This window comes from Homo sapiens, chromosome 3, assembly GCF_000001405.40.
Source record: "Homo sapiens chromosome 3, GRCh38.p14 Primary Assembly".
NCBI lineage: Eukaryota > Metazoa > Chordata > Mammalia > Primates > Hominidae > Homo > Homo sapiens.
Window position 1 is genome coordinate 2167953 of NC_000003.12, and position 15424 is coordinate 2183376.

At 35.1% G+C, this 15424-nt stretch overlaps 1 protein-coding gene across 28 annotated transcripts in view; it reads left to right on the top strand.

Annotated features, from left to right (window-relative positions):
• CNTN4 (contactin 4) overlaps positions 1-15424 on the top strand; it is a 959094-nt gene that overhangs the window by 69087 nt on the left and 874583 nt on the right. For 10 of the 28 annotated variants that reach the window (XM_047447535.1, XM_047447520.1, XM_047447526.1 and 7 more), the window contains one exon: positions 3908-15097. The exons of 12 other annotated variants lie outside the window; for them this stretch is intronic. The gene's annotated coding sequence lies outside the window, so the exon portion shown is untranslated. The remainder of the gene's footprint in view (positions 1-3907; positions 15098-15424) is intronic. 6 more of the 28 variants (XM_047447530.1, XM_047447531.1, XM_047447521.1 and 3 more) reach the window with 5 other exon arrangements.

The following is a 15424-nucleotide window of genomic DNA, read 5'->3' on the forward strand; positions in this document are numbered from 1 at the left end:
CATAGGAAGACTCCATCTCTACAAAAAATTTTAAAACATTAGCTGGGCATGGTGTTGTGTGCCTATGGTTCTAGCTAGGCTGAGCCAGGAGGATCGCTTGAGTCCAGGAGTTAAAGGTTATAGTAAGCTATGATGAGGCCATTGCACCCCACTCTGACCTGGGTGACAGAGTAAGACCTTGCCTCCATGGTTGGAAAGTTATACTCTACAAATGTAGACTGTATATTGTTTCAAAAATGTTTTTGGAATGTTTATGAAATTTGATCATATATGTAAAGAAAATTTCAAATATTAAATATTAAAAATCTTATAGGTTATATTGTCTAATTAAAGAGCAATAAAATTATAAATTAGCAAGGACCAAAAATATGAGCTACTTGGAAATTAAAATTAAACTTGTGAATGGCTTTTGGGTTTAAGTGGAAATCAATTATACTATGAACTATCTTTAAAACAAGTCACAGAAAATAATTATTCAGGATTCTAATATGTGGTCAGATGTTTACTGAGAGAGATTTTTAAAAATGTAAATGCATCATTCTTAAATATGAAAGATTGAAATTAAGTAATCTAAACATTTAACTCGAGAGGCTAGAAAATGACATTATAAAACAAAATAAATTAATAAAAAGTGAATAGTTATTTAAAAGTAGAAATTAATGACTTGTTTACATATAAAATATATAGAATTAAAAATACCCCATATTTGAAAAGACTTGTAAAATCAACAAAGCTTTGTTGTTTCTGATTCAAAAAAATGAGTTCATAAATGTATGATATTAAATTTAAAGGAGATAGGACCATTTGTATGTAATACATTTTCAAAATCAGTAGTGCTTGTTATGGATGTAATACTTGCAAGCAGATTTGGTGATTTGCTTGGAAAAAGAAAGAACCACTTTGTTTTTTCGAAAAGAAAAATTTCCTGCTTAAATGAATTGCCAAGATAAAGCAAATTAAAGATTGTCTTAGATTTACCCTCAGTTCTGCAAAATACACAGATTCAGATGGCTTCCTAGTTAAGTGCTGAAGCTCAAGAGACAAATCATTACCAAGTGATTTAAAATGTTTCAGAATTTTAAAACTAAAAGTAATAGGGAACACTTTCTATCTTATTTAAAGTTCATGTTTTGAGAGTCTAATATATATTGTGAAATTTTAGAAAGGCTGTACGAAGTAACATTAAAAATTGTAGACCAGCTTCCTTATTATTACTCTTGTAAATATGATTGAATCGCAGGCATCATCAAGTTAAAAGAATGATATACACTTACCAAGTATATTTGTTCTAAAAATGCAAGAAGAGTTCAGTATTCAGAGGTATATTAATATAATTATTTATAATACATTGAAAAGATAAATTCCACATCTCTATTTTGAAAGATGTTTAACGCCTTTTGATGAAATCAAATCGACATTCCCCAGTAACATTTTTAGAACATTAGGAATGATAAAATAAACTTTTTTTTTTTGAGACGGAGTCTGGCTCTGTCACTCAGGCTGGAGTGCGGTGGCGCGATCTCGGCTCACTGCAAGCTCCGCCTCCCGGGTTCCCGCCATTCTCCTGCCTCAGCCTCCCGAGTAGCTGGGACTACAGGCGCCGCCACCACGCCCGGCTGATTTTTTTGTAGAGACGGGGTTTCACCCTGCTAGCCAGGATGGTCTCGATCTCCTGACCTCGTGATCCACCCGCCTCCGCCTCCCAAAGTGCTGGGATTACAGGCGTGAGCCACCGCGCCCGGCCTAGAAACTTTAAAGCTATTATGAAAGATATGAAAAACAGTAGTGAATATAACAATTCACTGTAAACAGTAAAACTGTTTCTGTTTTAAGTTAAAGAACAAATACTCTTTATCAATGCTCTTAGTCAACAATGCTCTGAAGATTATAGTTGGTAAAATGAAAACAGAATTAAGAATAAATAATGGGAAAGGACAAATATTACTATTTTCAGATTGTATATGGGTTCTTCAATAAATTTTTACAATTAAAAGCTTTTAGAACTAATGAGTTCACTACATGATGAGAGATAAGATAAATGAAACTAGTTATTAGCTAATACTTGCAAGAATCAAAAAAGTAAGGGAGGCCGGGCGCGGTGGCTCACGCCTGTAATCCCAGCACTTTGGGAGGCCGAGGCGGGAGGATCACAAGGTCAGGAGATCGAGACCATCCTGGCTAACACGGTGAAACCCCGTCTCTACTAAAAATACAAAAAATTAGCCGGGCGTGGTGGCGGCGCCTGTAGTCCCAGCTACTCGGGAGGCTGAGGCGGGAGAATGGCGGGAACCCGGGAGGCGGAGCTTGCAGTGAGCCGAGATCGCGCCACCGCACTCCAGCCTGGGCGACACACCAAGACTCCGTCTCAAAACAAAAAAACAACAACAACAAAAAGAGGAATAATATTATATTCACAGAAGAAAGAAATACAAAAAAATTAGAAGTAAACTTAGGAAACTTAGGAAATCATCAAGACCTACATGAAAAAATAGTACCATTCACTATATGATATAAACAAGTGCTTGATTGAAAAGTAAACACACTCTCCTCCTAAATGGGAAGTCCTGTCATTCTAAGGATGTCACATGTGCCCACATTAATCTGTAAGTTTACTGAAGTTCAAGTAAAAATCTTTACAGTTTTTCTGTTTTTGTTTTTTGCTTAGAATAAAGGCAGAACTTAATGAACCTAAATTTGATTTGGAGAAAAAAGTGGGTAGAGAAATGTAGGGAGTGAACAGAGCCTTTTGGAAGAGGGAATGGGAGACTTTACTAGATATAAATATGAATGTAAAAGCCAAAATATTTTAAAATGTACTGTCAGTAAAAACTTATGCAGATGTAGATGGATCAATAGAAATAGAACAAACCGTAGTTATAAATTTAAGTGGATATTAAATGTCATATAAAATGAATTGTAATATGGATTGATAACTCAGCAAATACTGAAAAAATGGTCTATTTTAATACTTAGATCAATACCACTTCAAACAAAAGCACATTACTCTGAAACTTAAATATAGAAATAATCACATACTACTATACGAAAATACAGAATGTTTCTAACTTTTAAGCAAGGACTTCCTCAGCCTGATTTTAGTCGAATAACTATAATAGAGGAAGATGTTTCTTTAAAAAACTAAATTCTGTAAAACACGAATTCTTTATAAACACAAAGTCATATATAAACAAATGTTTATTGCAGTATTTTTTATTACATCCAAAAACCATGCACCTAAATGTCCACCAGGAAATGGACAGATAAATAAAAATGATTTGCTCTTACCAAAAATGTTAAAATAACTTTAAATAATGATAAGGTGGGTCTACATGTATGGACCTGGAAAAATGCCATTACATTTTCAGAGGACAAAAACACTCATAAAATAGGATGTAATATGTGATCTCATTTTTATAATTCCACGTCTTTGCATTTTTGTCTGTCTTTTGTGTGTAGAAAAAGAAAATAATGTGAAACTAATACCAACTTCAAGAATTAAGGGGATGAAATTACACAGTGGAGATTTTTAACTTTATTTTTATATATTCTGAAATATTTGAATGGTGAACAGTCATTGCTTTAATAATTGGAAAAAGTAGAGCTATTTCCAATTTGGGTTAAAAAAGTCAGTGGGACATTATCGTCTATATTCTACCTGTATGATTGAGATCCTAAGCCAAACCAATTCTTAGAGATATTCTGAATGACATATCCCAAAGCGCAGGTAAGTACACTCACTGTTAGACTCTGCTCATAGTTATGAGGGAAACATAGTCTCCAGTCACATCAAAAACCATGAAAGACAAGAAAAGATCATTAGTATACTGTATTTACTTGAGTTACTTACTGAATAGTATGTACTGGGCTCTTGGTGTGTTTGGTATTAATATTGACTGTTGGGTTCTAGTCTAGACTCTTGGTTCTGTGGTGCTGTCATCTATACCATTGGTCCTTGGAACAGGAGCACCTAGGAACTTGTTAGAAACAGAAAGTCTCAGACTTCATTCCTGACCTCGTGAATCAGAAATTTCTGGAGCCCACGCTCAATCAGCAAGCACTCCAGGTGATTCTGATGGATCCGAATGTTTGAGAACCACTGCTCTGCTGCATCCAGGGGAAAGCTATTTACTAAGTCAAGTTTTATTGTAAGTTGATCTTTCTCTTTTGAGTATATCAGAATTTATTAAGAATGATTAGAAAATTGATTGCAAACCAAAGAGTGGATAAAGAAAATGGGGCATATATACACCATGGAATACTACTCAGCCATAAAAAAAAACGAAATAATGTCTTTTTCAGCAACTTAGATGGAGCTGGAGGCCATTATTCTAAATGAAGTAACTCAGAAATGGAAAACCAAACATTGTATGTTCTCACTTATAAGTGGGAGCCAAGCTATGAGGATGCAAAGGCATAAGAATGATTTAATGGACTTTGGGGACTTGAGGGGAAGGGTGAAATGGGGGTGAGGCATAAAAGACTACATATTGGGTACAGTGTTCATTGCTTGGGTGATGGCTGCAACAAAATCCCGGAAATCACCACTGAAGGACTTATCCACGTAACCAAAAACCACCTGTACCCTAAAAACGATTGAAATAAAAAACAAAAAAAAGAAAACTGGTGGCAAGTAGGCCAGCCCATGAAAGCCGTTTAATACTTGGTTAAGTAGACTGACATTCTTTTCGTAGATGGTAGGGAGCTTTAAAGATTTCTGAATGTGAGAAGGACATGAGTGGTTGATGTCCATCAGGACAACTGCTCTAGCTGCAGTGTATAGCAGATTGCAGGAGACTGACAGTGGAGATGGAGAGCCAAGTTAGAAGGCAATTAAATAGGTCAAGCAAGAGGTAGTAAAAACCTGGATTGGAGTAGAGGAAATGGAATTGGAAAAGAGACAAATGAGAAAGAGAGATTGTGAAAGTGAGAACAGTGCTTGGTCCCTGATGGCATGTAGGGGCCAAAAGAGAAGAAAGGCAAAGATGATTGACGTTTTAAGCCTATGTGACAGGTATTATTGGCACTACAGATCAGAACAACTATCAGTGATCTGCAACGTGGTAGATTGTGCTGATATCAGTCATCACACAGAAGATTGGTTTGTTTGGATTTCTAAATTGGGGCTTTTCAGTTCATTGGAAGGATGGTTAAAAATCTCAATGATTAGCATTAGAACAAAAGAGAACAGAAATACAGTTGAGTACTTTGCCAGACTCATCAAATATGATTTTGATGGGCTAAGAACTCCTAACGAGGACACAGTGATCAACTGAGCAAACAGACCATTTGGCTTGAACAGAAATGTCAACATAGGCATAATCTACTAAGTTGCTAATTAGGGATGGTACTAGCCGGTTGATGGACTTCAGCCAAGACATACAGAATGGTGAGAAGCCAGTGCACAGAGCCTCTGGGAATCTGAATGATCAATTATTTTTCATCCCATAATGTAATTTACCTGTATTAGAATTTATATGCAGAATTAAACACTCCTTCTTCAGAGTTTCCACAGTATTCTAGATTTTTATTGAAGTATTTATTTTAATGGTTTATTTATCTTGGGCAGAGCTTTTTGTGGGGATATCAAACTGTTAATGGATAGAAAGGGATAGATTGAATATTCCTGAGAGTTGGATCAGTGTGAAGTAAAGTTGAAGTTGGTTATACTATGGCAAGTATGATGTAGAGAAAATCTTTCGGATGTTCGAAGGTCAACTCAGCTACTTACTTCCTTTTATAATTTGGTTCGACTTGAACACTATGATTCCTCATTTGTTAAATAGAAATAATAATAATAGTTTACCTCATAGGGTTATTATAAGAATTAAATCTAAAATCCAGTTGACTTGAACTCTAAAAGATAAAATAAAATTTGAAAAAGAACTAAAGGAAAAAATAATTAAATAAAATTATGCATATGCAATGTTAAAAAACAGAATCGGAAAAATAATTTCTCAAAGAGGGTAGCTGTTGTTGCTATTATCGTTGTTTTATTTTATTGTCAAACAGGCTGTGAGAGTCAACTAGAAGGGTGACGATCTTGAGGTAAGAAGTTTTTGCATCCCTCTAGCATATTTTACAAGCAGCATCAGGTACAAGCTAAATGAGTGTCGCTGAGCCTGAACTTGTTTGGTGAGTAGTTGAATAAGGGAATGATAAGGCCCACATTCATTTATTTTTACTTTTAAGGTAGAAGGGTGCAGCAACTTGGTTTCTGCAGAATGTATCACTTGCTGTCTTTTCCGTGGAAAAGAGGCTATAGTTGTTCATTCAGATTGAACAACTGATTGTAAAATTGTAATACCCCTAGATGGAGGTGTATAAGAAAACTAAGCCATTTCTTTTCTTATAAATATGCATACATGTCTTAGTTCATTCATGCTTCTCTAACAGCATAACATAGACTGGGTGGCTTATAAGCAACAGACATTTATTTCTCAAAATTCTGGAGACTGGGATTTCCAAATCAAGGAGCTGGCAAATTGGATGTCTGGTGAGGGCCCACTTCTGGTTCATAGCCAGCCTTCTTCTCTCTGAGTTCTCACAGGGTGTAAAGGACCAAGGAACTCTCCTGAGTCTCTTTGATGAGGGCACTAATCTCATTCAAAAGGGTTCCACCCTCATGATCTAATCATCTACCAAAGGCCTTACCTCCTAATAGTATCTCTGATAGGCCAGTCTTGTGTTGCCAGAAATGAACATTCTCAAGTTCATTTCATGCCAGAAAGGAATATCTGAGACTGGGTAATTTATTTTAAAAAGAGGTTTAATTGACTCACAGTTCTGCAAGTGGTATAAGCATGGCATTGGCATCTGCTCAGCTTCTGGAGAGGCCTCAGGGAGCTTTCAGTCATGGCAGAAGGCAAAGCAGGAGCGGGCACATCACATGGCAAAAGCAGGAGCAAGAGAGTGGGGAAGTGCCACATATTTTCAAACAACTGTATATGGACACTCATTATTGTAAGGACAGCACGAAGCCATGAGGGATCCTCCCCCATGATCCAGTCACTTCCCACCAGGCCCCATCTCCAAAACTGGAGTTTACAATTCAACATGAGATTTGGGTGGGGTCAAATGTTCCAACTATATCACTATCACATTGGTGATTAGGATTTCAGCATTTGAATTTGCAGGGGACATAAATATTTGATCTATGGAAATATGTATAAGACATTTATTTAATCTATAAAATAAGATCTCTAATGAATGTGTTATAAAAGGTAGCTTCTAGGTTCACTGTCCTATTTTAGGAAACTTGCAAATGTTCATTAGTCTCCTAAACCTCTGCCGATAGCTTGCCTTTTCTTTGTGACCTTGGATTTTTTTTTTGTAGGATTCCCTGTCTAGAATATCCTAGCTTGTTTTTCCTAAACATGGAAATCACTAATCCTTCATGGCCGAGTTTACCATCCTTCTCCTTAGTAATTTCGCTTTATTTCAACAAGGAAAAAAAGTCTGAGAAATTCTGTAGCACTTTGGTCCATTGTTATGACATGCATTTCAAATGACCTAACACTGTTTATATTTGTGTAGAAATTTTATTTATCTTATTAGATTGTAAACTCCATACAAGAAAGCTGAAAAAATAAAATTAAGAATACGGGGAAAGGTTTGAAGCAGAAGGTCAGAGACAGAGGCTTCTTCAATGCCATACAGAGGATTGGGCTTGAGTAGTAACTACTGCTTGATACCAGATGACTTAATCTCTCTAACCATGATGTAATGAACCAGAGGTGGGTCCCTGTCCCCAAAGGACTGTGATCCTTAATAAGTGACTTGGTAAGAGCTCTGGCTAACTGGTGTGTTGAAAATGTCACAACACCCTAACCTGATCTGATCATACAGACAGAATGAGCAGAGTGATTGGACTAAAGCTAAAAGGCAGAGAGAGGGCAATGATATTACAGGCAAGCAGCTAGCACAGCAAAAAATTCAATGTAAATAAAATAGTAGAGTTAGGAGAAGATTATCTGCCCTCTTTACCAACCCCTTCATCTTTAAGTTAAATCTCATGAACTCAAGTTACCTGAAAATATGGTTTATTCCATGTATGTGAAAAAAGGCCTGACTAGTACAGCATCATTTTGTAATCTCTTTGGCAGAAATGATTCTTTTTATATGTTGAGTCTAAATGCACTGCCTTGTAGCTTCCATGCACAGGTACTTGTCATGCTTCCTGAAATCACACAGAACATGCATTAACTATGTAGCCAATGACAGGCCTTCTAGGATGAGCAGATTCTTCAACAGTAGGGAGATGTCTTTCACAGGAAACGAATGAGTATTTGTCAGGGCTTCACTTGATATACTTTCTACCACTGTCCCGGTAAGGAATAGCAGAATATAAATAAAGGGTCTAATATGTACTTATTAATGAGTTTGCTAAATAGAATATATATACCACTTAGTGAGTGGTACTATGATTGTTTTGGGTACATACCTAAGATTAGCTTTTGTTTTAATAGTAGAAATATGTATATATTATTATGTATATTAGGAAAATATAACCAGCATGGAAAACCCATGGCTTCCTTGAGTCTATTCATTAAGACAAATGGAAAATACATATTTAAATTTAAAATAAGAATTTAACAATGCTAAGTAAACAGTTCTAGTGGTATGCACATATGGCCAACATAATGGAGGATGTTTGCTAATGATGGTAATTAGTATAACACTGCTTTAAGAAAAAGTGTCAACAGATTAGCATGATATGCCACAAGCAAACTGGACCAAGATTATCACTTTTATTTTTGCTTTCTAATTTCAGCGGTTAAATTTTAAGATATTTGATATAGCTTAGGAGATTGATTGCTTTGAAAACCAACTTAAATATGAAATAAAGAAACTATACTAGCACAAGTAATGCAAGAAATAAACATCACTTCAAGGTCAATATCAAGAAATTGGAACCCTTTCTGAATTTATAAGAATATTTTGAGAAACAACTTTCCTGTCAAATGGAAGTCAGGAGAAAATCAACAAAGAGTCACCTTTGTACCCAAGAAAACCTATAGACACATGTAACAGCATGCAGAAATATAAAGGTAAAAAAATCACTCAAGAGTCAGTGAGAATTTTTTTTAGTAAAGGTCATTTGATGTCCACTTCCTTGTATATCAAATAGTTAAATGCGGATGAAAGCAGGAGATATGAATAATACTAGACCGTGTATCCATTAAGGAATCATGAAAACAAAAGTTTAAAGCAAGAATTGCTAAAACCAAGTGTTTTCTCAAAAGAGCTCTTAAGTCAAATGTAGAGGTAAGAATATATGACTTTATCACTGTATCATTTTATTACAGGATGGAATTCAACATTTTCAATGTGATTTTCATGTATTTTATTGATTTGGGAAGGTTAGCGATTAAATATTGTTAATAACATTCTACCTGGTTTCTCAACATCTCATATCTTTTTTCCTCTGACCCATCAGAAATACTACTGGCACACTTGTCTCCCCAGTGCACTTCTTGGATTGTTTTTGCTCCTCTGCTCACCACACTTCTTGAGGCTGCTTCCTGAATTCCTCCATACATATGAATTCTTTAGCAGGCTATTCAGCATGCCTGTGCTGTCTGTGCCAAATCTAACTTCCAGTCATTTTCCTTTGCACTTGTGTTTGGCTACTTAGGTTTATCTTAATATGCTCTATATGCCAGGGCTCTTCAGAGAAGCAGAACCAATGGGATTGTGTGTGTGTTTGTGTGTGTGTGTGTGTGTGTGTGTGTGTGTGTGTGTATCTCCAGGAAACTTCAGTTTTTACATTTAAGGCTTTCAGCTGATTGGATGAAGATCACCCACATTAAGGAGAATAATCTCCTTTACTTAAGCTGAATTGATTATAGATGTTAATCCTATCAACAAAATACTTTCAAAGCAATATCAAGACTAGTGTTTGACCAAACAACTGGGCCCCAGAGCCTAGCCAAGGTGACGCATAAAATTTAACCATCACAATTGCCTTGCTTTTCTTTCTCTATCGTCTGGATTTTAAAATTTTTTATACTTTACCTTATATGTCCTTATTCCATATTCCTAAATTTGAATACCCTTCAAGCCCCAGCTCATTTCTCTCTTATTTTCAAAGTCATTACCATTCACTTCATCCTGGAATGGTAGCTAGGACCTGTGAAATTCTGTAGCAGGATGCACTGCTTTCATAGCATGCATTTCATGCTGCCTGGTGTTGAAGGTATTTGTGTAAGGCTTTTATACTCTGTGAGAGCTTTGAGCTTCTCAAGGGCCAGAGCTGTAACACATATGTCTTTGAATTAATATATAATTCATTGCTCTACACAAAGGTACATACTTTTTTTTTTGTTTTCTGAAGTGCAGAGTGCTATTCTAAGCCATCTTAAACTCAAAGAATTATAGAAACGTTCTGGCATACAGTCAGAATATGGAATAGGAAGAGTGTTTCACAAAGTGTGATAGGCATCCTACCACACAAAGTAGTGTTTGCTTTAATAGATTCATGTTCATGTTACTGTGATTTAGAAAAAAAAAATTGTAACATCAAACCAATGAATTCTCAGATATTAATGTTTAGGATGGTGTTAAAACAGAGACTTATGTTAGGCTTGAATCAATGATTAAATATTTATTTGAGGGTCAATGTTCAAGTATGACAATGTAGTAAAATAGTATGTGAAGAAACTAGGTTTGTTCCATGTTAACTTAATGCAGTTCTAGACTGGAAATGAGGAGAATTGAAATTCTATAGGCCCATCACTCATTGTGTGTGTGATCTTAAGACATTTTTACCTCTTGGCATCTGTATCTTTTTTGGGGGGTAGGTATTCTGTTATCATCTAACTCTAAAAGTGTAATTTGCTACTAAGATGCCTATAAATACAGCCAGACTACAACACAGATGGTGCACACAGGAAGAAAATCTCTGATTGGTAGACTAACCCAAAATAGGCTGTGTATATATTGAATGAAATACGACCAAAAAATCTGCAAATAGCAGACACAGAGCATCCTTTAGGTTGGAACTGAGTAAAGTAGATTTATGATCTAATCTTACTTATTCTATGACATTTCTGTTTAATGAATGTCCCTGATCCTCCTGCCATCTTACTCACATTTCTAATGTGCTCATACTCCGAGGTAATAATGATCATTTGCAATTATAAATGTCCTGTTATCAATTAATTTGCAGTTCACCAGTAACCATCTGATTATCTCTAACAAAGCTGCGCTGGTGTGGTAATTATGTTGAGAGTAATCATCATGTAATTGCACATAATTATTTGTACCTTATTAAGTGCTCATATGATTAAAATATTTCTGGTCAAATAAAAATTATCCGTGAGAGTATTTTTTGGAGGGGGGAAATAAGAAATGTTGCTTCCTGGTCTTCTGTTCTTTGAATAAGGTAAAGCTGTCTAGCTGACAGTCCATAATGCCCCAGATAGGATGAATTAGTAAGGAGAGAAGAGACTTAGATTTCATTAATACAATACCTTGTACCTCCAATGAAGTTGAGATAATAAACTTCAACTTCCAGCATGGATGAACGCTTTCCCTGTAGTAGCTATAACAAAAAATATTACCCTATTAAGAGTGTACACTATGAATGTCATTGAGGACAATGTGTTTTTCATGTCCAACACCGCCATTAGCAATTTTATACTGAACTTTTATTTTTCTCATAGTACTCTCTCTTCAAAACTTTTAATATTCACTTATTTACACTCAGTGTTTTTTTTAATTTCCAGGGACTGTGTTTAGTGAGATGATCTACAGGTATAATTCCAAAAGCACCTACCAAATTTGTTTATTCAGACATTCATTAAAGAGCAACTCTATATACTAGCACTCTCCTTTAGAAATATTATGTGAGCTACGTAGCCAAATTTACTTTTTCCAGGACCCACAAACAACAGCAAGAAATAGGTAAAATTAATATTAGTAATATATTTTATGTAAAATAATCATTACTTCATAGGTACTCAGTTGTAAAAAAGATTAGTGAAATATTTTACATTTTTTGTACTAAGCCTTATAAATCTAGTGTAGATTTTACTTATAGCACATCTCAATTCAGATGAGCAACATTTCAAGGGCTCCATAGCCATAGGTAGCTTATGGCTGCTGAATTAGATGGTGCATATATGTTGATTGTATCTACATGGTAGATAAAGGAGAGTCCTAATTAATAGTTAGCTCTCTGATTTTATAGATGTTTTTATGAGTTTCAATTTCCTAATCTGGTAAATAATACATCTAGCCTAAAACATTTCTTTTTAAATTAAAATGTTTTCTAGAAGGATAGGGATGGAACTAACATTAAGGGACTGCTTTACTAGGTCATGTAGGATACTAGGTATATTTACATTTATTATCAAATTCATTCTTCACAATAGTCTAGAAGGGTATGTTACTTTACAGGTTAGAAAAGTGAGATGTAAAGTTTAACCTTATCAATAGTAGAATAGTAGAACTGGGATTCAAACTTGGCTATCATCTTTGACCACAGATTTTGTCTCATGCTTTTCAAATAAGAAACACATATTTTGGGTCCACTTGCTCATTGATAGGTCTAGTAAGAGGATTTTACTTCCCTGAATACTGTGTAAAAGGCTTGACTGCAAGAAAGTTACTGATTAGTTTGATTTTTAGGGTTTCTCCTGACCTTCCTTATCCATGTTTCCCAGTCCAGTTTCTTGAATTAGTCTCTCCTGAAAGCTTGTTCTTTCCAGCAAACTTATCTCAAGTATAGCATAAATCATCTTCCACTGGCATTTTAACTGAAAGTCTGTTGACTATCACGCACACTTACAGAAAGCCTACCTTTGGGGATAACTGAGTGACTGACAGCGATGCCTTAGCAACCATCTGATTGTAGTTACAGAGGAAATTTACCTTGGATTGAAGAATCACATGCCATTGTGATTGACAGAGTCTGTAAGACAATCAAGGTCAAACCCAGAGTAAATTGAGTATGTGGCTATGAGCATTGACAGATAAGTCATGTGTCAAATATTGCCTAGCCATCTGGTTGCTACTCATGATTAGACTGGATTCATTGTGTTTAATTTCTTATTGAGGACAACTACATGGGAAACTTGTTTGTTTTTAGTTTATCAGTGAAATGTGCTTTATCTGCTGACATAAAATGTTTCTGCCTAAAGTGAACTTGCAAAATCATTAGTTTTATGACTCCAGCATGACCTACAAAAAATTATTATTTAAAAGTGATTGATGCATTATTGAAAAAAATATATTAGGTGCTGAAAGTTACACTCATGAATAAAAGCACAATTCCTTAAAGAGGAATAAGAAAACAAATGTGATCACCCCGAGGGTTTTTAGAAGCCCCCAAATGTTTAAAGACTATTAGCCAAACTGGGTACCAGATATGTGGGTAGTGAGAGGTGATGAGATGTCAGTGATAAGTGATGTATAAGGGGACAGGTGCCTTGTGTGAAATTCTGAAAATTCACATTTAGTAGAACGTATCAAACGCCAGTAGAACGTATCAAACGCCAGCAAATACTTAGTTTATTTTTGAGGACAAAAGTGGAAAACACAGGGAAGTGAAATCAATTGTCCTATGTCACATTGTACTTGGAATGGGGCTCTGAGTCCCCTGACTACTAATCCAGTGCAATTTCCTCCTGTAACTTTGCTGCCTTTGTAAATGATTACATTTTAAATACAAGGGCTGTTTGGCTTATTAATTAGTTAGTGTTAAAAAAAGCCAAAGTTGCTTTTCATCACTGATGGATTAGTACCTTTCATTCTGTTTTCAACTACCATATTGTCCTTTTAACTGAACTATTAAAAACATTTTTCCTTGTTGATCACAGCTTGGGTGAACAAAGTAGGGGCTAATGAAAATAAATTCCCGGTCAGAGAAAATGGCAGTTGCACGAGTTTTGGTGGTATGATAGTCACATTTGCATATGTAAAGTATAACACTACATAAGCAAATAATATGACCCAATTTTAGGTGGTGATCTATATGTCATTGCTGGTTCCTCTGCAAGAATAAATACTGAATGCTTCTAGGCATTTCCAGTAAGCACAGTAAATCCATTTCAATAATGAAGAATTCCTGAGAAAACAATATAATAGAATCAACAGGTTCTAGCAAAGTGGAATTTTATCATAAATTACAAGTTCCACCATGTTAACACGTACATTGCAACATGTTTTGGACAGTACTTCTGAGGTTGGAATTCTCAGCAAGTGGTTCCTATTTTGACATCCAGACAGTGATAGCCATTTGTAGGTGGAAAATTAGTTATCAGCTGTGCCTTGCTTTTTCTTTACTTGGGTTTCTCTATTTCTCTGTCTTTTTACACACACACACATACACACACCCCACACACATATACACATATATATCTATCCTTGGATATCCAAAAAAAGATTCTCAATAAATTCACAACACTAATTGAATTGAGATGATATAAAGTTGTTGATTATTTTTAATAAAGTCTAGAGATCTAACATTAGTTGTAGCTTATTTCTTCACTACTAAATAAGAAATTCCAAGTTAAGTCTTTTCATCTTTTCATTAATAAATAGCCAATATGTAATATCTGCCCATCCATATATATTATGAACTATCTGAACTACTCCTTATAATTATGGGGTAACCAGTCAAATAAAAGTGTTGAATAAACAGCTTATTGTATATGTTATGAATTACCTGACTTAAAATTAGGAGTCAATTAGTCAAAATGCCATGGGCTATATGACTCATTGTAACATTAATAAAGTAAAATATGTCTTCCTATAATCCAGTTATTGGTATTAAATAATATTGAAGCTATTTTCCAAGCAAAACTTCCGCATAAGTTTGTTTTTGTCTTGGTTGAGAACTGGTTCTTTTGAGATAAAGCCACCAACTCAGCACAGGTTTTTTTTTTTTTCTCCTGAATGGTTTTGTTCAACTTAAAATGACTGTTCCTAACAGCAGGTGCTCTCTTCTTTGTTTCAGATTATATTGAACATGCTTTTGGTCTTCACAAATACTGAAAATCAACTATAAAAATGCTGGATGAAAAGAACTATATCCATATGGTAGGAAGATAAAATTTTAGCTCTAACTCATATCTTCTCTGAAGAAGATTCTTCAGTAAGTTCAATAACTAACATTATACATTCAGTCTTTTAGGAAATCCTTGGATCTATTTTCAAAATATATCCAGAAACAGAAAGCAGCTATAACATTTGACTGGATCTCTCATTATGAGTAAAATAAAATCTTTAACAGCTATTAATCTTATACATGATATGACAGCCGTGATTTTACCTTTCTTTTTTAAAATTAATTTTAACAGCTTTGGAGATCCTTCACTGAGATATCCAGTGGGTTCAACTGACAAAGCAAGGCACAATTTATCATGTAGGAATGTACTTCACGGGAAATTTTCTTCTACATATGTTTTCTCTTGGTTCCCAG